The 24,809-nt window shown below is 47.3% G+C and overlaps 1 protein-coding gene across 4 annotated transcripts, besides 3 other annotated features; it reads right to left on the bottom strand.

Annotated features, from left to right (window-relative positions):
• Positions 1-1,081: 1,081 nt before the first annotated feature.
• On the bottom strand, positions 1,082-24,546 carry NOM1 (nucleolar protein with MIF4G domain 1). Of its 4 annotated transcripts, none has more exons than NM_001353366.2 (11): positions 23,534-24,546; positions 21,660-21,787; positions 19,960-20,155; positions 14,084-14,407; positions 11,997-12,107; positions 11,083-11,250; positions 10,232-10,353; positions 7,856-7,988; positions 7,166-7,297; positions 5,062-5,171; positions 1,082-4,729 (listed from the first exon to the last, which is right to left on the bottom strand). In NM_001353366.2, the coding sequence occupies exons 1-11, from the start codon at positions 24,518-24,520 to the stop codon at positions 4,555-4,557; spliced, it is 2,586 nt and encodes an 861-aa protein (NP_001340295.1). In that variant the 5' UTR covers positions 24,521-24,546; the 3' UTR covers positions 1,082-4,554. The 4 variants fall into 4 exon arrangements, 2 of the variants coding, with proteins under 2 accessions (NP_001340295.1, NP_612409.1); NM_138400.2 differs by having other exon boundaries at positions 21,660-21,784; XR_927511.4 differs by lacking the exons at positions 1,082-4,729; positions 5,062-5,171; positions 7,166-7,297 and having other exon boundaries at positions 7,914-7,988; positions 10,070-10,353; positions 21,660-21,784.
• Positions 5,737-5,928: a silencer, noted in NCBI's record as "fragment chr7:156761024-156761215 (GRCh37/hg19 assembly coordinates)". NCBI's record gives its function as "represses an EF-1alpha promoter that drives an FKBP-Casp9 reporter gene in an ReSE screen in HepG2 liver carcinoma cells {active_cell/tissue: HepG2}" and the evidence as "EXISTENCE:reporter gene assay evidence [ECO:0000049][PMID:32094911]".
• Positions 24,126-24,175: a silencer, noted in NCBI's record as "silent region_18855". NCBI's record gives its function as "represses an Ori minimal core promoter by ATAC-STARR-seq in GM12878 lymphoblastoid cells {active_cell/tissue: GM12878}" and the evidence as "EXISTENCE:reporter gene assay evidence [ECO:0000049][PMID:35858748]".
• Positions 24,456-24,805: a silencer, noted in NCBI's record as "silent region_18854". NCBI's record gives its function as "represses an Ori minimal core promoter by ATAC-STARR-seq in GM12878 lymphoblastoid cells {active_cell/tissue: GM12878}" and the evidence as "EXISTENCE:reporter gene assay evidence [ECO:0000049][PMID:35858748]".

The raw sequence follows: 24,809 nt of genomic DNA, 5'->3' as shown, positions 1-24,809 counted from the left end.
CTGCACTCCAGCATGGGAGACAGAGTGAGACTCCATCTCAAAAAAAAAAAAAAAAAAAATGAATGAATGAAGCTGACCTGGCCCGTCGGACACCTGCCACAGTGGGGAGAGGGGGAGGGTGCTGGCATCTTCCAGCTCACTCCTATACACTCTATTCAACCCTATAGGGATGCAGGTGCCTGGGTAATTTGGACACCCACTGACACCAAGCCCATCATCAGTGCAGTTCTTGATACTGAAGCCCCTGAGCACGGTCAATGACAGGACCTTCCCTCCTTCCGTTCTCCAGCTCTCCCACCCTCCCCTGCCAATGCAGGTAGTGCGACAGGGAGCTAAGGCGGTCACCTGACCAAGCTGAAGGAAACCAACCCACCCTAAAGTTAAGGTAAATCTTGGCAGATGTACGCTAAGGCCTAGGCAATTTTTTAAGGAGGCAAAGGTGATTTGAATGTTTGCTTACTTTTGTAAAAGAATAGTATATTTTAGATCTTTATAGAATGAGTTCTGAATTATGAATGCTTTCAAAACATCTATTTTGAAACAATTATACACTTACAGAAAAGTTCCAAGAACACACTTCACCCGCATAAACCTCTCCAAGTTCTCCAGTGGTTAACATTCCACCTCCTGGGCGTTCTCTCTCTCTGGGGGTGGAGAGAATGAATCTTTCTTCCTAAATCATAGAGCTAAGTAGCCTTCTTTAAAAGGTAAAGGAAAGGTATAGACCTCAGTTTACCACCAAAGCTTTTTTTTTTTTTTGAGACAGAGGCTTGTTCTTGTGCCCAGGCTGGAGTGCAATGGCGCAATCTCAGCTCACTGCAACCTCCCCCCACTGGGTTGAAGTGATTCTCCTGCCTCAGCCTCCCGAGTAGCTGGGATTACAGGCACCTGCCACTATGCCTGGCTAATTTTTGTATTTTTAGTAAAGATAGGGTTTTGCCATGTTGGCCAGGCTGGTCTCGAACTCCTGACCTCAGGTGATCCACCTGCCTCGGCCTCCCAAAGTGCTGGCATTATAGGTGTGAGCCACCGTGCCCGGCCAAGCTGGTCTTTCAAAATAAACATTCACTGTTACTCTAAACAAAATATAAAAAATAAATTTTATTTATGCATTTCAATACATTAAAGTTTGTTCCTTATACCTTTAAAAATGATACCCTGAAAGACAGCTGTTTAGTCATTCTATACATTAGCAGTTCTCAACCTGCATTGTAAAGTCCACAAGTTCATACATAACACTGAGCACTAAGCATCCTGCAGTATTTTAAGTGTATTTTCAATTGCACTGTAATAAATTTCAAAAAACCCCCTATATATTTAAAAGCAATTCTGAATTCATAGCTTTTAATCAAGATGTACTCATTTACTATTTATACGAAATTACAATTACTATCTAACAGCCCATATATGTTGGGTTTTTGTTTCTGCTTTTGAGAGTTTCACTCTTGTTCCCAGGCTGGAGTGCAATGGCACGATCTCTGCTCACTGCAACATCCGCCTCCCAGGTTCAAGCGATTCTCCTGCCTCAGCCTCCCGAGTAGCTGGGATTACAGGTGCCTGCCACCATGCCCAGCTAATTTTTATATTTTTCATAGAGACGGGGTTTTGCCATGTTGGCCAGGCTGGTCTCGAACTCCTGACCTCAAGTGATCCACCCGCAACCTCCCAAAGTGCTGGGATTACAGGCGTGAGCCACCGTGCCCAGCCCTGTATGTTGTTAAAATGAACAGACTTACAGGCAATCTGCCATGTACTAAATGCAAACCATAGCTAATAATTTAAGTCATACATATAACTCTCTAGCAAAGAGAGGTATTTTTGTTTTAATAATAAAATATAAAAATGGGATTGTTTATAGAAATTCATCTTTTGCAGAAAAATCAGCTTCAATTCTGTACCTCAAACATGGGTTACTGCATATGGTACATCATGAAATCAGGTGGTGCCACTGTCGTGATAGTTTTTCCCATCTTAGTAGCCGCACCCATAATTAATGCCTACTCACATCAAGTTAGCACCACTCAAATGTGGGCCATTCACAGGCAGCCAGGGATCCTCTTGGTCCGTGAGGTTGGGGGCTTGCATCAGAATGCAAATCTACCGAGGCGTGAAGCACAATTTAGTTCAACTGACATTTTTTCCTTCACAGTAAGACCTTCTGGAGGAAGGAAGCAGTGTGTTGATTTATACCTTAGCCCAAGCTCCTTATTTCACTATCAAGCTACAAGTCCAGTAGAACTGATCTGTTACATCCCAATCACCACCCAGCAAAGACACTCTTGTTAAAAAGCTCCTTAACAAAGGGAAGATTTTCACTTAATTCACTCTTCTCTTAGTACCTGTCACCTTATTTGTCCTCTAAATTCAGAACCTGCTAGAAGACATAGGGTTTGAATCTGGCTTCGGGTCGAATGATGTTGCTGAATGCAGGGTTAGAAGTCTGTAGGGACGACACAGTCTCTGTGCTGCTTTCAGTTACTTTCTGTATTCAGTTGTTCATGTTGCTTGCGCATGCTTCAAAGCTTAAACCATTAGTTTAGGGATATGCACAGATACTGATGACTTCACATCACGATTTCCAAACACAAACTGCCATAGGGTCGAGCTAAAATAAAATTTGAGGCCAGGCACGGGGGCTCACGCCTATAATCCCGGTGTTTGGGAGGCCAAGGTAAGAGGATCACTTGAGGCCAGCCTGTATAACATACGGAGATCTTGTCTCTACTGCTTGTGGTCCTAGCTATCCGCGAGGCTGAGGCAAAAGGACCGCTTCAGTCCAGGAATTTGATGCTGCGGTAACTATGATCGTGCCACTGCACTCTGGCCTGGGTGACAGAGTGAGCCTGTCTCTCTCTTAAAAAGTAAATAAATAGTATCTGAAAGTGCCACAAATGGGGCGTTTTGCCCAGGAGAGGCATCACCAGCACCTGTGCCCATCTGCCCAACGTGACCACTCTGAAGAGGACGGTGACTGCTGGACAGATGAGTTTTGGACATATATAACCTCTCAATGTCTATTCTGTATTCACATCTTAGTGACTTTTTTCAACAATCAAAGGTAAGATTTAAATTGAGTCTGTAGCATTTGAGAGAGAAAAGCAAAATTGAAGGGCTGAGAAAACAATAAACATTTGGGTATCTGCAATACATGCTGTTATCTAGGGACATTTCTGCTTCCTCCCAGAATCAGTTTTCCATACTTAGTGAGTGGGGTGTGTTTGTTTCTCCCACTAGACGGATGTTAATTCTTTGCAGGCAGTAACTATATTTTCTTCATGTTTACATCTCCAAATCCTTGCAAGCAAGTAGCACCTATTAACAGTCAAATAACTACTGTTTGGTGACCTCAGAGTTGTTTAAGATGGTACATTTACAATCTGGAATTGGTGAGGAGATGAATATCCTCAACTGTGTGAGAATGTTACATGAATGATGAAAAGCACCTGTCTGCATTACAGTGTACATAAGGCCATATCCACAGGGCTTATGTCGACTGACTTTGCCAAAGTTAATTGCAACCTAAATACTTAAAACAGTATCAAGAATCACATTTAAGCTGGGCGTGGTGGCTCAAGCCTGTAATCCCAGCACTTTGGGAGGCCGAGATGGGTGTATCACCTGAGGTCAGGAGTTCAAGACCAGCCTTGCCAACATGGTGAAACCCATCTCTACTAAAATACAAAAATTAGCCGGGCGTGGTGGCGTGCGCCTGTAGTCCCAGCTAAAGAGGCTGAGGCAGGAGAATCGCTTGAACCCGGGAGGTAGAGGTTGCAGTGAGCTGAGATTACAGGACACTGCACTCCACTCTGGGTGACAGAGCAAGACTCTGTCTCAAAAAAACAATCACCTTTAAGGGATGGTTTTTGAACTTCTAACCAATATTTTAAAAAGGTAAAAACCTCATCAATTTCTTTATAACTGCACCCTCTAGTGGCCTGTTTTATCTATTAATTTTTTTTTTTTTTTTGACAGTCTCACTGTCAAAAGTCTCACTGTCCAGCCCAGGCTGGAGTACAGTGGTACAATCTTGGCTCACTGCAGCCTCTACCTCCAGGGTCCAAGCAATTCTTGTGCCTCAGCCACCTCAGTAGCTGCTATTACCAGCATGTGCCATCATGCCTGGCTAATTTTTATATTTTTAGTAGAGACAGGGTTTTGCCCAGGCTGGTTTCAAATTCCTGGCCTCAAGTGATCCGCCCACCTTGGCCTCACAAAGTGCTGGGATTACAGGGGTGAGCCATCACGCTCGGCCATATCTATTAAAAAATTTTAAGACAATCATACACACCAGCCTCACTGCTTAGAGAACCCTGTCCAGTGTGCCTGACCCCTTTTCCCTCCCTCCTTCTCCTCTCACCCCCAAGATAGTTATTTGAAAATGGCTTGAAATACAAACAATAAAACCTTAGATCAAAAAAAATCTCAAAATATAATACATTAACAGACAATGATATAGCTCTACCAAACATTCACACGCAGGCAACAGAATAAGCCTTTGGGTTTACCAAGGACATTTTACAGTCAAAGGGCCACCTGCCCTCCTTCCTTCCCTGACTACATTCTCAGGGAAGCTTTTCCTTGCAGACACTTCGTTGCAAGGTCAGCTTTCTCTCTCAGCACGTTGGCTTCGTCGGCGCTTCTGTGGGCCTGTGCGTTCTTTAGCAAGAAGTGGCTGATGAAAAGCTTCAAACCCTCACGTAACACCCCCAGCTTTGGGTTGTCAGATACTCTGGAAAGGAATCGTATAAACACATGTCAGGGCTGAGCTGGCCTCTCCTAGATCTCAATCCTGGGTATCTCGCATAGTGAGACATAACCAGTTTCTTTTAAAAATAAAATTCTCAATTAAGAACTTCTTAACATATTTTATTATTAACAATCATTGTTAGTTTGCTAGCAGACAAGTTTCTATTCCCCAGATCTAATGCATACCAGCTTAAAAATAAAACCGAAAAGATTAAGCTACACGTATAGTACAACCTTGTGTTTGTAAATCAACACAAGTGAAAACAATCTCTTCATTTCTCTTCCATGTCTCGTCGGAAAGGGTGGGGCACATACCTTGTGAAAATTAAACTGAGGTCTTCAACTTCTGTTTCCATTAATAGGATACTTAATACTTTTCGTAAAAAACGGACTCTGGGTTTGTCCAATTCACTGAATTCAACTACCTAATGGTCAGGACATGGAGAAAAATAAAGTTACACTGATTTAGCCAACTTTTTCAATGATTTGTAATATAGTTAATTAGAGTAAAAATTAATCTCCCCCCTTCCCCCACTCTACCCGATTTAAGAAGCTATTTCCAGAGCTAAGAAATGAACACCTGTTGGCAAGGATGTGGGCCTTGGGAATTCCTACACACTGCTGGCAGAGGTGTGGCCGGCCACAGCCACCGTTGAGAACAACTCAGCAGTGTAAGTGGAATTCCCGGGTCATACACCTTATGAATCAGAAATTCAGTATCTAGAACTGAACCATAAATTACCTCCATTCCCAAAAGTACCCATCCCCTAATTAAAACTATATATATATATATATATATATATATATATATATATATATATATAAAATTTACTTCTAGAAGACTAATCCATATATATCTCTGCCCTAGAAAACTATCAAAAAATCAGAAATAAACACGGATCAGTAGGATAAGTAAGTATATAAACTGAGGCATACGTATACAGTAGGATGCTACCCAGAACAGACTCACGGGCGCCAACGTGGACCCACTGCAATCTTAGCTGAATGTCAGCGAGCTAGAGGAGGGGACTAAACGCATGGTGACGGGAATGCTACCCACAGGGAGGTGCGCAGCCAAACACCATCACAGGCGCTTGCGGACCCGAGGACGCGGCGAGACCACAAAAGCATGGTCGAAACACAGAGAAACTCGGAATGAGAGCAGCCCGGAGGGGCAGGGCGGGGGGCATCTCTAAAGCTCTACGCCTGAGGGTGTGCTCCTGCCACGCCTCTCCCGCTCATCGGTGGTAGCATCTGTGCTGTTCCAGGATGAGCGCAATGCCTGGGCGAGCGAAAGGCAAGGCAGGGGAGCGGAGGGGGAGCAACGCCTCCTCCATGAGCTAAGTTATTCCAGTTGTCAGGATTTGGCGTAAGGCTCGGTGCCCTCATTTTCAGTACAGTGGCCAAACTTGGACACCACACAGCAAGGGACGCAGGGTGAACTGGAGCCGGCATGCTGATGAACTGCACACGACACACAGAAACACACGGGAAGCTGTGGCTGCGGCTGTCTTGTGGGTCTGGGCCACTGCAGTCAACGCCCCTCAACTATCTCTGCTTTTCACTTCCCTTTGCCCCCCAGGCGCTCCAGTTTTTTTTTTTGGCTATTCAGAGTCTGTTGGTCCCACCATCCAAGCCTTACAGGCCCACATCTAACCCCAACTCCACCTGGTAAGATGTCTAGGTTTCAGCTGGGCGCACTGGCTCACACCTGTAATATTAGCACTTTGGGAGGCTGAGGAGGGCAGATCACAAGGTCAGGGGTTCCAGACCAGCTTGGCCAACATGGTGAAATCCCGTCTCTATTAAAAATACAAAAATTAGCTGGGCGTGGTGGCATGAGCCTGTAATCCCAGCCACTTGGGAGGCTGAGGCAGGAGAATCGCTTGAATCCCGGAGGCAGAGGTTGCAGAGATTGCACCACTGCACTCCAGCCTGGGTGACAGAGCAACTCCCATCTTGGGGGGGGAAGAAAAAAGATGTCTGTGTTTCATGGTCCACTGCAAAGTCCCAAAACACAGCAGGGCAGGAGAAAGCCTACAGTTTTAAAACACCTTACATCAACGTGAGCAAACTCACCTCACCTCTAAGGAGACCAGGCCCTACTTCATCCGCCCTTCTCCTCACTAACAGTGACCAGTTCAGGATTTTATAATTAGGACCAGCAAATTAACCTCAAGCTCCAAAACACATTCATTCAGATTAGCAAAAGAACTGCAGCGGTGCCTTCATTTACCAGATCAATTTGTAGCACATGTTAGTCTGGCCGTTTTCTGTCCTGGCTAGGATAATGCAAGCACTTTTCAGATGAATCAGAATCGAAGAAAATACGCTGGTAAAACAGGACCTGATTTACCAGGTACTAAACAATTACACTCCCATTTCCATTGCTTTCAATATTTTCACACGTTACACGAACCTTTAAGATGGAAAGGGAAAGCGATTTTGTCTTCAACAAGTGGGCCACCAGATGAACCAAATTAGAGAAATTCGTAGCTGGCAAGTTTTCCAAGTCCCGAAATTTGTCCCATATGCTGAACTGGAAAGTCATCTAGTATCATAGTTAAAAGGAGAAAAAAGGCAAACGGCCACAAATTACTATAATATATCACTAACAACATAACCTAAAGGTATTTTCTTATTATCTTATTTTTAATATTCTAAACATCAAGACTTTTAGTGGTGGCCTCACTGTTCTTGCCTATAGAGCATAGTCCCAAACAGCTTCACAAGAATCTCCTTCTGGTGCAGTTCTTCCCCCCAAATCAGCAGATACTAACAGAACATTCTAAGGAAAAGGCCACAGCAAGGGGCATCAGAACAGACTGGTGCACTGTGAACCGACGAGGTGCTCCTGCTGGCCTGGCCACACTGCCTGCATCTGTGGCAGAAGCAGGTGACATGAGGACATGGTGGACCCTTGACACTCCCCTCTAGCCCTCCCACTTCCGCTCCCAGTGAAGGTGGCCTGGCAGCCAGCGTGGACCAGGTGACGGGGATATCAGGGGCCTCCTGACTTGGGGAACTCCTTTGCAGGTGGGTTGAGCCAGGTAGCCTGTGTAGAAAAAATAGTAGAGCGGACGTAACTGGTGCCTCCGCACTAAGCTACCTGAAATCTCCTTTCATATTCACAGAATTTGCTAGCCAGGAAAGCATAGAAGGGATTGTAAGTTTTCTCTTGAAGGCAGCAATCCATGAGAACGTGAATGATTTCTCTCTCCTGCTGATCCTTAAGTCCAAGCCTAGAAAACAGAACAGCAATGACTGGAACATCACTCGACTTCCAAAGTTTAATGGCTGATACCTTTCAGGGGAACATCTTCCCGCCTGGAAGGGTCTGGTTAGAGGCGAGCCACGTAAAGGAGGTGGAGGCAGCGGCAGACACCAGCTAGGGGCCCAGCCCTGTCACAACCTCTCTGGTCCTCAGGTTCTCCTACAATGTGGCAAAATGTCAGAGGAGACAAGACCATCTAGGGGGTCCCCCGTCGCTGCAAAAGTCGACAGCTGTGCCCGGCTGACAATAAACTGACTCAATCGTGTGTGCCCTTAGAGCTGGTTCCTGCTATGGCGATGACTTCACATTTTCTTACTTTTTTTTTTGAGACAGTCTTGCTCTGTCACCCAGGCTGGAGTGCAGTGGCATGACTTCAGCTCACTACAACCTCCATCTCTCCGGTTCAAGTGATTCTTGTACCTCAGCCTCCCGAGTAGCTGGATTACAGGTGCCACCACCACCCCCAGCTAATTTTTGTGTTTTTAGTAGAGATGGGGTTTTGCCATGTTGGCCAGGCTGCTCTCGAACTCCTGACCTCAGGTGTTCCACCCACCTTGGCCTCCCAAAGTGCTGGGATTACAGGCATGAGCCACGGTGCCTGCCGTCGTTTGTAAAACTTGAGTTAGAGCTCACACACAGTAAAACCTATCCTTTGTAGTGTAGAGTCCTGAGTGTGGATAAGCCCATATGGTCAGGTCACCACCGGCAATGCCGAAACAGAACTCTCCATCACCCGTGAGAACCTGGGGCCGTGAGCCACCCTTGCCGTGGGCCACTGCTAATCTGCTTCTGTCCCTCTAGTTTTGACTCTGCCTCTGTCACACAGATTCAGGGCAAGGTGGCTTCCTGCACGGCAGAATACACTCGAGAGTCACCATGCTCTTGGGGCCTTGGGAGTTTGCCCCTCGTGATGCCAAGTAGTAAGTATCCCTTAGACGGCGTCTCATGGTTTATCCTTTCCCCAACTGAGGGGTATGTGGGCTGCTTCCAGTTTCTGGTGAGATCCGAATACGGCTGAGGCTGCCACCTCTGCACAGAGGCAGACACTCTGTACCTCAGGAGAGGAGCACCAGCTCCACTGCAAACAGCACAGCCCCACGTAGAGCACTCAGGTGAAGGCAGCGCAGGCGGCGAAGGCGGCCCAAAGAACCAACTGAGTTTCAGCTGCATTGATTATCAATTCATGTTGATTAAAAGCTTAGACTCATAACTCATGATTTTGAGGAATAAGAATGGGAAAAACTATTGTTTAATACACGTAGTTTGATAGGCCAAAATTTTCAACACATGAAGTCAACCAGAGGAAAAATAAACGAAGTCCTTCGAGTACAAAGGATAAGCTAGACCCGCTGACTAGAGAATAAGAGTTCTCCTCAAAAGAGCCCTTTTAGAGACCAAGGGTGACTAGGGAGATGGGAGGTTTTCGGCAAAACGGCAAGGCCACAGAGAGGCAAAGGGAACTCAGGACTTCCACTCCAACTAGAAACTCTAGTTTAGAAAATAAAACCCTAATTATCAGAATCCTAAAAGGAACCATGTTCTCCCTGTATTTCATCCTAGTTTGAAGCAAATAAAAGAATATGTATTAACATTACATTGTTTAGAAGTACCTCATAAAACTACACAGGTACATTTAAAGATTTTTTTTTTCTTTTTAAATGAGATGGGGGTCTCAGTATGTTGCCCAGGCTGGTCTTGAACTACTGGGCTAAAGTGATCCTCCTGTCTCAGCCTTCTAAGTAGCTGGGATTACAGGATCTTTAAAATCTTATTACAACTAATTATACAAACTATACCAGGATGTTTTAAATGAAGAATCAGAATAGCTTTATTATGAAGATTTATGTATTTTTAAGCAATTCGTGACAACCAACAGCCACTGACAAGGTCATCAGATACTTTCAGTCAAAACTCCCCAGTCTCCAGCCTGAGCAACATGGCAAGACCCTGTCTCAAAAAAAAAAACCCCAAACCCCCAATCTTTATATATCATAAAATGTTCTAATGAGGAACTACTAGAGGCAAATTAATAGGAACATGACGACTAACCCAGAGATGCACGAATCCAACAGCGTGAGCGGATGGTCATGAGAACAGCCCAGTCCTCCCTAGGCAGCATCAGACTCAGTCGTCCAAAACTCAAAAAGCAAATCAACTTACTTATTTTACAGCATCTCATTAATAGGTCAAAATGTGCACACAAATGCTTACTTCAGAAGCTTTTCAAAAGCATCCAAAAAATCTTCACTTGTCATTATTGTGCAGAATATGTTTCTCCGGATGTCTGTGTTCATCCTCTGCTTCCGGGCGAGTTCTAGGATCTTTGAACTGACCTGGAAGCACGATGAATGGACAAGTCATACGCATGTCTCCATGCAAACTGCCTCCCGAGAGGTGCCAAACTGTACTTCAGTGTCACTGAATAGAACTGTGAGGTCTACGTGGGCGGATGGCACCAAGTCCACTCTCGGGCAACGCCCCTCTGTGCAAGGGGAACACATAGTGAAGCCACAGCCGCTGGGGGAGAAAACACTCATGTGGGAGGCTTCTCAGTCGTGGTTCAACCTCAGGGCAAGCGACGATGAATAAAACAGAGAACCAGTCACTGGCAGAGCCTGGGAAACCGTGACCATGAGTGACACAGAATCTGGGACAGGGAAGGACATGAGGGGATAACGAGGGAAGTCTGGATGAAAAATGGGCTTGAATTTCCACAATGTGAAATCCATAGCCTGTAGCCTAGAATGCACAGCCCGGGGGGCAGCCTGAGGGGTCTCAGCAACGGACTCCTGCCCCGTGAGCGTTCAGGTCCTCATGCGCTCCCCTGCCCCGTGCCATTCAACTTTTAGATCTTTTAAAGTCCAATAAAAAGATACAACAGAAATGGAATAATTATATCACAATGTAATATTAATAGCAATTTCTGTAAGGCCTCCAGATAAACCTTGTACATTTCAGTGACCATTCAAGAACAGTAAGAGAGCTGCTCCAGGTAAAGCCAGGACCACACACCACACAGGGGGGTGCCTCTGCCTGGCAGCCTTGAGCATGGGTGTCCCTACCGTCCCCACAAGCTGCTTCTGCAGGTGCGTATGGTGACTGTTGTCGATCATCGGGGCCCCACTCCAGGCGGACCCCACAATCCACCAGCGACCCGTCTGCTCCGCACTCAAGACACTGTCCCAGGAGACGCGAAGCTGCGTCTCAGAACCTGAGCCGGCGTTGCGGACCTGATGAAGAGAGAAGAGCTAATGAAATGCTTTTAATTGGTTCATATTCCGTCCTTCCATCACCGGTGGCTTTTTGTTTTTGACCATGACATTTCTGGTGCATGAATACTGGAATGGGTCACTGGCAATTGGGACGGTTAGCCTGTTTGGAAAAATGCCAAAACTAGCGGTAAACTCAGTGTTTTGTGTTTGAGAGTCCATCACCCCAAACACGCTGTGTTTGGAAAGCTGTCCCAACAGGAGAGAGTAACAGAGCTGCCTCAGGCTCAGTGGCAGGTGAGCACATGCCTGGAAGAGCCTGGGTCAGCAATGATTTGGACTTGAGATGACAGGGGCTGAAAGACTCACTCCAACAGGGAGGCTGCCCCAGTCTCCATCCTGGCTGCATGTCAGAGAGAGTCAAAGGACCTACGTCATCCCAATTTCCTTGGTCCGGATGGGGACTTGGCCTTCTCTGAAAGCATCGGATGATCCAATGGTGCAGCCCAAGTTTAGCACCCGGGGTGAGGCAAAGAGGACGCTCGCCCAACATGGGCTTCCCCACACACGGACATTCTGCACGAGCACGCCCAGACCACTGGGACAGCCCCTGAGGAAAACCGAGCCGCGTTCACTCTGCCTCTGAGCACTCTCACTCACCAGACACCACCCTGACGTGCAGGTCTGACTATTTCTTGATTTTCATGACAGGCTCATGCCGACACGGAAGCTCTGAGCAAAACAGAATTGAAAGTTCCTTGACTCACCAAAGCTCTCTGCAGTTTCCTCAGCTTCTCCACGGGCTCGGGGTCATAGCCTGGAATTTTGCGCATGTCATTGTTCTTCAGGGCCAACATCGTCTCTAGCATAAACCGAATCTTCAAGAAAAATGAAAAAATGGAAAGTCCATCATTTCAAACAGTCTAAACGGCCCATTCAAGTTGGCAAGAAATCTACCACACCTGATGCACATGGCCGCCACCGCCACGATACAAAGTCAGGACAGCCTTTAGGTAGAGACAGTCTAAACTAGTCTCAGCCGCTTACTCAGGGCTACATAATACTTCAAAATGGAAATGTGTCCCCCAACGTCAAGTGGGAACCCAAACTCCCCAGAGATCTCTTTTCCCTTCTGCTCGCCACACGCCTCACCCTTCCGCACCGTCCACACCTACTCGGCCACCCCGGCCTCTACTACGCTCCTGCTCCCACCCTGGCCCCCCGCGACCTGCTCTGGACATCCTCTCTCCTACCACTGGCCTTGTAATTTTTTTAACTTTAAAACTGGAAGTAATGTCATACAGAAAAGTTGCAAGAACAGCACAAAGAATTCCCACATACCCTCTGAGATGTCCCCAAATGTCAACTTCTTACTGATACAGAATTCACATAGCATAAAACTCACTCATGTAAGGTATATAATTATGTGGCTTTTAATACATTCAGAGTTGTGCAACTATCACCACAATCAATTTCAGAACTTTCTCATCACCCCAGAAGAGAAACTCCAAGCCCATTAACAACCATTCCCCATTTCCCCAACTCCCCAGCCAGCTCCCCAGCCCACTAATGTACTTTCTGTCTCTTCTCCATTTGAAACCACCATTGAGCCCGCTGCTCCCATTCCCTTCTCCAGCCCCCTCCTCTTCAGACTGGCTTCTCCGGGGACCAGGATAAGCCAGTCAGGACCGCCGTCACAATTCAGCCCAAAATGCAAATCCCTTCCTCCTCTTGCTGGTCCTCAGCATCCCACACGGGCGTGAATTCTTCCTGGGGACACTAGTGTTCCCTGGCTCCTGGGACCATCCTCATTTCCTTCTCACCTGCCAGCTCTCCCTCCTGCCTGCAGCTAGACGTCAGTGCTCCTTAACCTGAAGGTCCTCTTCACAGCCCACCTGCTGCCAGGCAAGTCCACCCATTTCCATGGCTCCCAGGACCCCCTCTACGAGAGCAGCCCCATATCCCTTCAGCCCACTCTGTTCACAGCTAACCCAGTCTTTCAAAAATGGAGGTGCCTGTCCTAAATCCTCATCTCCTCCTGCACGGTCCCCTGTGCCCCTGATGGGTGACCCTGAGCCCTCCTTCCCTTCATCCCAATCCACATGAGGTCTGGTCACTTCTGACGCCCATGTCCACACCCACTGCCACGATCCCAACATTTGCCACCACCTACTCCCCAGCTCCTGCAAAACTCCTCCTGACTTCGACCACCTCATGCCTCTTTCTGCCTTGGAGTCAAAGTGACCATCAGAAGGAAAACTCCAACCTGTCATTCACCTGCTGGAACCCTTCAGATGCCTCTAGGATAAAACCCTCAATTCCCTGCAGTAATTAACAAGGGACCAGAGACCTGAACTCTGCCTTTTTCTCTTGTGATGCCCCCTCCAGGCTCTCAAACTAACCCTTTTCGGGTTCTTCCCCAAACGGCTTCCCAGGAACACGCGGTTCCACACATCTCATCATCTGAACGGCACACAATGTGGGAGCTGTGATCAGTCCCTGTTTTACAGAGGGGGAAACTGAGGCTCAGAAGACCCAGGTTATGCTGCTGTCAAGTGGCAGAGCCCAAAGTCCAACCCAGGCTGACCCTAGAGCCCCATGTCCTGTGGCCTCCTCGGTAAGCATTTTTTAACGGATGAATGTTAAATAAATCAGTTTTTAAATTCACAAAATATTTTTCTGGTAAAGGAATAAGGTCCATTCACATATTAAAGCCAGAAAACAGGATGAGACAGAAAAAACAGAAATCACTAGGAAAGCAAGTGTAATATTTACCCCAGATACTGATTTTTAGGTTCTGGCCAGTTTGTGAGCTTTAGGGACTTAGGAAGCAGATCAAGCGTCGCACGCGTACCCTGGTCTGGTCCTGAAACTCGCTGCCTGCCCCGCTGGCTTTGGTCTGGGCTTCAGTGATCAATTCCTTAAGTGATAAAGCATCATCTTTCCTCAATGAAAAACCCACGTTTTTCAGCATTAACAAGATCAGTTCAATATCTTTTTCGGTGAAAGTTCCAATCAGTTTTTTCAAAATGTCGAAGATGAGGAGAGACTGTACCACGTGGAAGTTGTATAAATGGGCAATGACGGTGAACAGGTTGTCACACTCTTTCCCTTCGCTTCCGTATTTATAGATGGCATCGAACTTCCTCACCACTGCCTCCAGAAAGTGGGCACCGACCTGAAAGAACCACACAGAAAAAAGATTATGTTATTCCTAGAAACCTTCCTTTCTCCTTCAACACACAGAACTGGCACTTTCTAAATTAACAAAGTGCCACAAGGCAGGGCATTCCAACAAGGCATCCCTCGGCAACCCAGAGCAGCCGGCCAGAGTGCCCCAGCCTGGACGCAAGGGCACCTTCCTCTTGTTAAAATCAACAACCAAGGGGCACTGTTTGGCCAGCAGCCATTCTGACTCCTTGGAAAAATAAAACTGTTAAAAATGATGTTAAAAACACACCTATGTCTCTCAAAATATTCCACTACTGGCCAGGTGCGGTGGCTCACACCTGCAATCCCAGCAATTTAGGAGGCGGAGGTGGGTGGATCACAAGGTCAGGAGATATCAAGACCATCCTGGCTAACACGGTGAAACCCCGTTTCTACTAAAAATACAAAAAAAAATTAGCCAGGTGTGGTGGTGTGCGCCTGTAAACCCAGCACTTTTGGGAGGCTGAGGTGGGTGGATCACAAGATCAGGAGATCGAGACCATCCTGGCTAACGTGGTGAAACCCCGTGTCTACTAAAAATACAAAAAATTAGCCGGGCGTGGTGGCATATGCCTGTAATCCCAGCTGCTTGGGAGGCTGAGGCAAGAGAATCGCTTGAACCCAGGAGATGGAGGTTGCAGTGAGCTGAGATTGCGCCACTGTACTCCAGCCTGGGCGACAGAGCAAGACTCTGTGTAAAAAAAAAAAAAAAGTTCCACTACCTAACAATATTCATTTCTTAAAAGATTTTTTTGCAGATTTTTACCCCAAATTCATTTCTTACAAGGAAGCAATACGAGTGATTTCTAAAACAGATAAACGCAACACATTCTGAATATCAGAGGTTGCCAAATAGACAGGTACTTAATAATCTCTGGAAGGGCTCCAGGTGGCACGGAGGAGACGCCCTACTTTCCCAGGGCTGAGTCTCTGGCACTAAGGTAGCTTGTGAATACACTCACTTGGCTCAGCCAGTGGTTTGAGGGGCACTGGGCCCTGATGGGGACCAGCAGGTAAACCAGACACTGCCCTGAGGGGCGGAAGTGGGGCCAGGAACTGCCGGGCCTGGTGGAGCTAAGCAAGGCCTAAGTGTTCTCCTTGTGCTGTTCTGGTACATTTTATCCCGAATTCCGTAACTGTGGACTGAAGGATGAGAAGACCTGCATGTGGGTCTGTGTGGTCTTCAGCAAGTTCCTGGAACCCTGTTTTTTCACTGTGTAAAAGAGAGATAATAAAACTTGAAGGCAGAAAACAGTCGTTTTCAGTCTTGCTGGCAACACTACCGTGTCATCATTTTCCGTCAAATCTCAACTTAAGCTGGGACTGGAGGGAGAAGGCGGAAGCAGGGACATGGTGGTGACAAAGAGTGACCCCCACAGCCCAGCCAGGAGACGATGGCCTAAATAACGCAGCTGCGCTGGACCAGGGATGAAGGGCCTGGGTAACACAGCAACGCATGGCAGTGTGTGACACCGGCTGTAAAAGCTGAAGGATCTGTGACTCCCAGGTTTCTGGTCTGGGTAACCAGGAACTACGTGAGGGGCAGCAAGCTAGTGGGGCTGGACAAGACCAGCTCAGGGGTTATTAAGCTTCAACAGGGGCCATCCAGACAGGACTGGATGGAGATCTAAGGGTGTCAGTGAAAATCGCAGGCAAGGCTGAGATCCACCAGACAGTCTTGAGTGTATGGGGAAGTACACAGACATCATTGCTGGACTGCAAAGAAATCAACGCTAGAAGAATCCAGAGAAAGGCAACAGACTGGCGGGAGGCCACAGTGACTTCCTGGAGGCCAGCTCTGATGGACTGGATATACACTTCAGTTTGTAAAGACCTGAGACTTAACCAAGCCAACCTGTAGTTTCCATTCAAGCCCCTTCAATGAAGATAAACTGGAAGACACATTCTATTATGGCAACCATGTTATAGTCAAATATAATTTTTAAAAGTAAATTAGAATTCTGCAGACGTCAATAAAAATTTAGGCATAAAACATATTCATGTATATTTTCTTTTTCTTTTTTTTTTTTTTTTTTTTTTTTTTGAGACGGAGTCTCGCTCTGTCGCCCAGGCTGGAGTGCAGTGGTGCGATCTCGGCTCACTGCAAGCTCCGCCTGCTGGGTTCACGCCATCCTCCTGCCTCAGCCTCCCGAGTAGCAGGGACTATAGGCACCTGCCACCATGCCTGGCTAATTTTTTGTATTTTTAGTAGAAACGGGGTTTCACCATGTTAGCCAGGATGGTCTCAATCTCCTGACCTCATGATCCACCCGCCTCGGCCTCCCAAAGTGCTAGGATTACAGGCGTGAGCCACCACACCCGGCTGTATGTTTTCAATTATGTATATTACATCAAAATTTCTCAAAATTCTAAATCTGAAGTTCCATTTAATGTCTTCAAAATAAAATATAACAGCATAACATTTAAGAATATAAGTAAAATTCACGTTGGTAAAGTTATTCAAGCACATCCTGTACGTTAACTCTGATGTGGAAATTTTAACATGAATCTACATAGATTGGGTTTTTGAGTTTTAAAGGACTTACAGAAGCAATTCAGCAGCTGACACCATCGTCTTTAACACAGAATGTTTTTCTCGGTACAGGACTGAAAGCAGCTGAATGGAGCCAGCACCCTGAAAGCTCATCACACGCTGGCAGAAGTTTCTGTGGATGTCATTAACTAAAGTACTGTAATGACTTCCCTTCGGAACAAGTCATTTCATTGTCCTTCATGCAATTAGCAAAGGTTTAAATGAAAGTAGGCCCAATTATCTCATGTTTTCCAATCAAGTAAATTCCTGATGTGCTGTGGGTGGTCACGGTCTGTGGCTTTTCCTGTAACTCACTGAGATACTGCCTATACTAAGATCATTCTGATGATTAAGTCAGCTGAAGCATACCAGTGTCCTCTAGGAGGACAGGGAGGTACCAAGAAAGTCACAGAATGGCCCTGATTATGGTAATCACAGGGCCCAGGAATGGCACCCAGTGATTCCATCACTTTGTAATGACAAGAAAACAGACTCCCACATGCTCATACATGAAAATGAGGACAGCTCTTAGAAATAAAAAATAACAAGAGGGTTCCCAAAGCAGCTGGTGCAGATTTTCATATCTGAGATGACCCATGTAGCTCAGAAGAGTCCCGCACTCAGATGCTCAGGCCTGTGCCCCTCTCTCCAGCCCTCAGCTTCCTAATGCCCCACAGGCCTTTCAAAAAGCTGCCACCATGCAACTACTGCTAGACATGGAAAAATGTGGATCAGAACATTATCTAGCAACAACAAAGAAATCAGCAGTGGTAGGAAAAGCCAGCCAGAGGAAGAACAGAATTAAAACACGAAAATCTCCTTCTGTACATAAATAATGAGCCTTCAATGAGCGCTTATTGTGGGCCAGCTCTTTCCTATGCCTATTACATGAACTAACTCGTTGACCTTAACGACTGGACACAGGAAGACTCGGAGGCACAAGTTCATCTAAGTGACACAGACCGTGCGCGTTACAGCATGTTTTGTACTCAGGCAGCATCTCCACCCACCCCATGCCGCCTTCAGCACAGAAGCCCCAGTGACAAGAAGGCTACTTCATTTTGGCAAATCCGTGCATCTTTTTTTTTTTTTTGAGACTGAGTCTCGCTCTGTCACCCAGGCTGGAGTGCAGTGACGCGATCTCGGCTCACTGCAAACTCCGCCTGCTGGGTTCACGCCATTCTCCTGCCTCAGTCTCCGGAGTAGCTGGGACTTCAGGCGCCCGCCACCATGCCTGGCTAATTTTTTTTTGTATTTTTAGTAGAGACGGGGTTTCACCTTTTTGGCCAGGCTGGTCTCGATCTCCTGACCTCGTGATCCACCCGCCTCGGCCTCCCAAAGTGCTGGGATTACACGAGTGAGCCACCGCGCCCGGCCGGCAAATATGTGCATCTTAAAGCAAGCTTTGGAGAGCCCCACTTGGTAAGACTCTAAATAACTGTTAAGATTATAATTGAGAGAAAGTAATATAAAAATGAAATGAATGTGACTAGCATTGCAGTAGAAAGCATGCTTGCCTAGGAGCCCAGAAAACAAGTTCTGTGTACTTTTAACAAGACGTGATCTTGGGAATTTCACATAGCGCTTCAGCGGCTTTGCCTGCTGCACTGCAAAGCAAGCTTCAGTAAAGGTCTGCCCTGATCTCACCGGGACACTTTAGGATTAAAGGTGAGGAGGAGACGAAAGTATATAAACGTACACCAGGTAATTAGACTTTTAGGGATGCTGTGCTGCTGTGGCCTATTTTTTGGAGTAGAGCTGTCAGAAGGCAAAAAACTAAGAGAACCACCATTAAAAGAGACTATCATTTAAAGATCCAAATGGGTTAAACACTGCATTTGCATGTAAATACTGTATCACGGGAAAACTAAGCCTCACTGACCCAACCCTCCATTCGTTCACCAACCTCACAACAATCTCCTTTAGTTGGACGGATTTACTTCAACACATCTGAAATCAGCTACCTTGGGGGAACTGGGATACTGACTGGGAGTGTTATGACTTTCCTGTATTCAATTAAGAGAGAACAGGCCCAGAAGAGGGCAGTGACTGTGGAACCAAGGCCATCACCAAAGAGCCTCTCTGACTTTAACCACAAGGGTTGTGGAGCAAGAAGAATACGAAAGGGATGTGGGGGTGGGGTGGACATTTACTTAGCACCTGTCGGGTGCCAGATGCTTTCTGTACACTGTTCAGTTCAATCCCAACAAAAGCCCACTTCACTGATGAGAAAGGGCCATGACACAGAAAGGGCACCAGGTCTCCCTGAACATGTCCAGGCAGTTCCATGCCCCAGTGCTCTCACATCTCCCATCAATACCAACACCTCAGTAGTGAGACCACACCAACCATTATCTTCCAAACATCTGAAATAAATCAGTGTTAAGGGAGAAGTGCAAAGGAAATGAAGGCACGTCTGAGATGTCAGTCGAGAAGAAAATTAACTAACATAAAAGACATGCTAGGCTGGACAGAACAGGGCTGGGCATGGCAGCTCCCGCCTGTAATCCCAACACATTGGGACGCCAAAGCAGGAGGATCACTGGAGCCCAGGAATTTGACACCAGCCTGGGCAACAGAGTGAGACTCCACTTCTGCTCCCACCAAAACAATTAGCCAGGCCTGGTGGTGTGCGCCTGCAGTTCCAGCTACTCTGGAGGATGAGGTGGGAGGATCACTCGAGTCTGCAGCTGTGATCGTGCCACTGCACTCCAGCCTAGACGACAGAGCGAGACCCTGTCTCAAAAAAAAAAAAAAAAAAAAGAATGGACAGAACAAAAAAGCAAAGTTAAGCAAAATCAAGTAATCAAGTACTTCCTGAATGCTCTTTACAACTACATGACATAGACAATAGAGTATTTATTCACAACAAAAAGGAATCGACACAAGAACCACCCACAGCACACAATTACGCACTTATCAAGCCTATCATTAAAATAATCACCATGAGACACTAGTGACAGCCTGGAGAAAAGGTACAACTGTACCTCGATTCCAACTGTGTGGTGAAGGATGCTGACTAAGAGAACATGCTCCATCATCAGTCTGCTGGGCATGGCCGAGGCAGTGACGCAGGCACCCATGAGAGCGGAGGTCAGGGTGTCATTCATGTCCTTTCTGCTGTGGGCCATGTACAGTTCCTCCAGCTGCCCACTGATGGAAGCCATGTTGGGTTCACTCAACCTGCAGAGAATTGTAAAGACAGAGAGCAACAATGTTTCCAATTAGGAATTTTCAGTTCAATTTTAAAAAATTAAAGAGTTATCCATACCAACAATATATTCTATTTTTATGTACACTTTTGACCCCTTAACTATTCTTATCTTGCCCCAATAACCCAGCATATATTATTCATAACCAGATAATATTCTGGAATCCCAAAACAATGTAATTGCTGTCTTTACAAGATGAAATGTGGCCACACTGAGGCATACCCTGGATTAAGTCTACAGAAACATACGTGAGGATACTCCCCTGAATATTCTGACCTGATATCCCATAGGCAGGGTCCAGCCTTAGGACGTGTTGTTAGAAAAAATGCTAACGTTTTATTTCTTAGGTGGCACAAAAATCCTTAGTTCCTAACACTAGAAAAGGCTGCTCTGTTTGAACGGGTAGTGGGGACACTACACACATATGTACGTGGAAGGTTACTCACTGTGAACCTGTGCTAATACTGAACTCGACACTGAAACAGAGGTTTATATAAATTCCCAGGATAACAGGAAACAAAAAGCAATACAAGGGGGAAGGGGGTGGGTGAGGCCATGGAGGGGCAGCAGGGGAGAGATGGTGGTGAGTTTTATCTCAATTGCAGCGGTGGTGACTCGAATCTTCATGTGATAAAACTACAGAACTGCCCCGGTGCGGTGACTCATGCCTGTAATCCCAGCACTTTCGGAGGCTGAGGCGGGCGGATCACCTGAGGTCGGGAGTTTGAGACCAGCCTGACCTACATGGAGAAATCCCGTCTCTACTAAAAATACAAAACTAGTTGGCGTGGTGGCGCATGCCTGTAATCCCAGCTACTCAGGAGGCTGAGGCAGGAGAACTGCTTGAACCTGGGAGGTGGAGGCAGAGGTTGCAGTGAGCCGAGATAGCGCCATTGCACTCCAGCCAGTGCAGCAAGAGCAAAAACTCCATCTCAAAACAAAACAAAACAAAACAAAAAAACCTACACAGAATCACATGCACACACACATCCTCAAAACCAAAGAGCTGATGGGCACGTGTAACTGACAAAGCCCCACCTGTATGGTTTCCAATCAGTTTTTTAAATGTTCTGTTCTTAAAGTGGGTAACAACAAAATGCAGACATGAGCAATGAGTAAGGGGGATGGAAGACCAGGTGAATGTGTTTCTGCAGAGAGGGGACATAAGCCAGTCCTTCCAACACTGTCCTTAGACGGACAAAGAACCTCTGCCCCTTTCCTTCCTGCTTCTCAGAATAACAATGTGAGCATTTGGGCTGCTCTCAAACCCTAAAGGGATTCAAAGTAGCCAACAGTCGGGTATCCTCTCCTTCTCGAGGTATGGGTCTCATGGGTCTCGGTGCATCAAGCCAAGAACAGAAAGGATCCAATCGACTGTCCCCATCACTTCTATTTGAATTGCTGGGATAATTCCTACATTTTAGGAAACAGACAACCTCTCTAAGTGACACAGTGTAACAACACTACAAGGTCACCTGTTAAGTAGACCTTTTACATGTTTCTTCAGCCTTTCTAGTTCTTCCTTTTTCTTGAAGTCCACTGTCTCCTCAGCTTGCCTCACATGAGGTGGGATGTACTTTTCACCACTTCCACAAAGACTCTGCTTGAAAAGAGAAATAAATTACAAAAAATTTACACTGACCAAATCCTGTGTTTTTTCTTTGCCATATGTGTATTTAAATATTAAACTTCCAAGAACTGGTGGAAGCTGCTACTGATCATTGCTGCTTAAATACATCAGATTTATTGAGTGCTTAGTATATGGGTAAACATTCCACTCACCAGGCTGTGCCTGTCACTATTCCCATTAATGCTATTAATAATACATTTCACCATCTCGTTTTCCCCTGTGTAGCTCTTCAGACCCAGCTGTGCACCTCTGGTATCTGCTCAACTCCAACAGAGCCCTATCTACTGCGCTTTTGCTCGGCCTTAACTTACTGCAGGCACAGTAGCATACAAGAACCTAAATTAAACAAACCGCTAATTTTGGAGGGAAAGTGTCCTAAAAACAATTTCAAACTTGTTTAAAAGTAATATCTAAGTTTATATGATAAAAATCAAAACCGGCCGGGCACGGTGGCTCATGTCGGTAATCCCAGCACTTTGGGACGCTGAGGCGGGCGGATCACGAGGTCAGGAGATCAAGACCATCCTGGCTAACACAGTGAAACCCCATCTCTACTGAAAATACAAAAAATTAGCCGGGCATGGTGGTGGGCGCCTGTAGTCCCAGCTACTTGGGAGATGAGGCAGGAGAATGGCATGAACCTGGGAGGCGGAGCTTGCAGTGGGCGGAGACTGCACCACTCTACTCCAGCCTAGACGACAGTGCAAGACTCAGTCTCAAAAAAAAAAAATCAAAACCAACTCACTGCTATTTCCTAAATTATCAAGGGGGGTGGTGGTGTTTGCAAATCATTAAGGACACAAACATTTGCAAGGCACGATCCTCACTGCTAGGTAGTTTAAACCTGGTTCAATAAAGAATATTTGTATACATAGAAGCTGAATATTTACATACATAGAACTAGTGCGATGTGGGGAGAAGGAAATGCAGGCAATTCCACACAGCTGCCTCCAACCATGAGCTACATGCAAAGGAACGCTGAGATAAAATATGCAAGATGACAGCCCATGAATGCCTTGATTGCTACGTCCTAGATTCTGAACTTTTTTTTTTCTTTGAAACAGAGTCTGGCTCTCTCGCCCAGGCTAGAGTGCAGTAGCGCGATCTCGGCTCAGTGCAACCTCTGCCTCCCTGGTTCAAGCCTCAGCTTCCCAAGTAGCTGGGATTACAGGCGCCTGCCACCACGCCCGGCTGTTTTTTGTATTTTTAGTAATGACGGGGTTTCACCACGTTAGCCAGGCTGGTCTCAAACACCTGACCTCAAATGATCTGCCCCGCCTCAGCCTTTATCTTTAATTCAATGTTGGACTTTATCTAAGGGAGTGCTGTAAATTAGCTTCGAGTTTTAGAAAATTCACTCTAAAAGTCGGGCACGGCAGATGTCCTCGGATACTCGAAAGAGGCCTTAACAGATGAGGTAGGGTTAACAGGTTTAGAGACCTGGGCTGGTAAACACAGAATGAAGATGCTGCACTGTGGAAATGGCCCTTAAGTCCCCGGGATAAAAATGTCTCTATATTGCTTTTCTCCTAAACTTTACATTATGAAAATTTAAAAACATGAAAGAAGACCGAATAGAGTAACGTACTCGATTTACTCACATTCAGCTGAAACCATTATCAAGACACCAAGTCTGTGTCATTTCTGCCTCACGCCCCATTCCCTGTCCCGTTATTTTGAAGGAAATCCCAGAGGGCCTAGAGAGTGTTCACACGATACCTTATCCGTTATGTCACCGTCCTCCGAGGAATTTTCACTCTTTTCTTCATCTTCTGCAAAACGGACTCTCTTCCCCCTCCTTTTCTCCTGCGCTCCCTTTTCCTTTTCTTCCCCCTGTTCCTCTTCTGTATCCTCGTCGTCGTCCTCGCTCTGCGCTTCTGCTTCCTGCGCCTTCTTTTCCTTTTCTACGTCTCCCTCCTCCTCCTCCTCACTTTCGTCCTGGGAGTCACTCTCTAAGTCACTTTCGGGGAGTGTCTGTCCGGCATCTTCCTCCTCCTCACCACTGCTGTCGTACAAGCCGCTATTTTTCCCAGACTCCAGGGCTCCCAGAATATAGTCAAGACCGTCGCGTGCAAAGCTCAGCGGCACGGAGCTGCTGCCGTCCTTCTTTTTGCGCTTGTTCAAACCGAGGCAACGCTCCAGCTTTCGGATCTCTCGGTCCTCCTCCTCGTTCGCCGCTAAAAGCGCCCGTTTCCGGGCAGCGGCGGTGGCGGCTGCGGAGGGTCTGGTCTTTGCGGTGGCGGCCGTGGCCTTGGCCTTGACCCGGGACGGCCGCGGCTTCCTGGGAGGCGAGGGGTCCCGACTAGGGGCTGGGCGGGCGCGCTCCTCCGTGTCCTGCCGGTGACCGCTGGCTTCTTCGGCTCCGCTTCGGCCTCCCAGGCCGGGACCCTGTTCGGGGCCCGCCGTCCTCTGCAGCCGGCGTGCTTTCCGCAGGTGCCGCTTCTCCTTCCTCAGTTCCTTACGGCTTTTTCTCCCTCCCGGGCGAAAGCTCACCGGGGCGCCGCGCCCCTCGCAACCCCCGGGAGCCTCGCCTTCCGAAGTCGCGTGCACGAACTCCTCCACCGCTAGCTTCAGCCTCTTCAGGGCCTTCTCCCCACCGCCAGCAGGACCGCGGCGCGGCCCGCGCCCGCCTCTGCGCTTCATGCGGACCACGCGTCCCTGGGAGCCGCCCGGGCCGGCCTCTCCCGCGCTCCTGGACGCCGCCATCTTTCGAAACGCGTGGACGCACGACTTCCGGCCGAGGCGGGACTTCCGGGGAAGAGGCGGCTGCGCGGGGCGGGCGGGCGGCGCCCCCTGCTGGCCGGAGGGCGACAGCGTGCAGAGCTGCGCGGAGCCGGGTGCGGGGGCAGCCGGGCAGGTGGCGCCCGGGGCAGGCGCGCCCGCGGGTGGGCGCCGCGTGGACGTCAGGCTCGCGATGAGCATGGAGGTGCCTTCACATTTAAAAGGGAAATCCGGCCGGGCGCGGTGGCTCACGCCTGTAATCCCAGCACTTTGG

The sequence above is a fragment of the Homo sapiens genome, chromosome 7, assembly GCF_000001405.40.
Source record: "Homo sapiens chromosome 7, GRCh38.p14 Primary Assembly".
NCBI classification, from domain to species: Eukaryota; Metazoa; Chordata; class Mammalia; order Primates; family Hominidae; genus Homo; species Homo sapiens.
This window is presented reverse-complemented; position numbering and strand designations above follow the sequence as displayed.

Bases quoted from the DNA above. Each gene is read 5' to 3' on its own strand.
- NOM1 (NM_001353366.2), bottom strand. From the start codon at position 24,520: ATGGCGGCGTCCAGGAGCGCGGGAGAGGCCGGCCCGGGCGGCTCCCAG. The intron at 21,788-23,533 runs GTATCGTGTGAA...TCTCTTTTCAAG, and splicing joins ACGGTGACATAACGGATAAG to CAGAGTCTTTGTGGAAGTGG. The intron at 20,156-21,659 runs GTGACCTTGTAG...AATTCTCTGCAG, and splicing joins GTAAAAGGTCTACTTAACAG to GTTGAGTGAACCCAACATGG.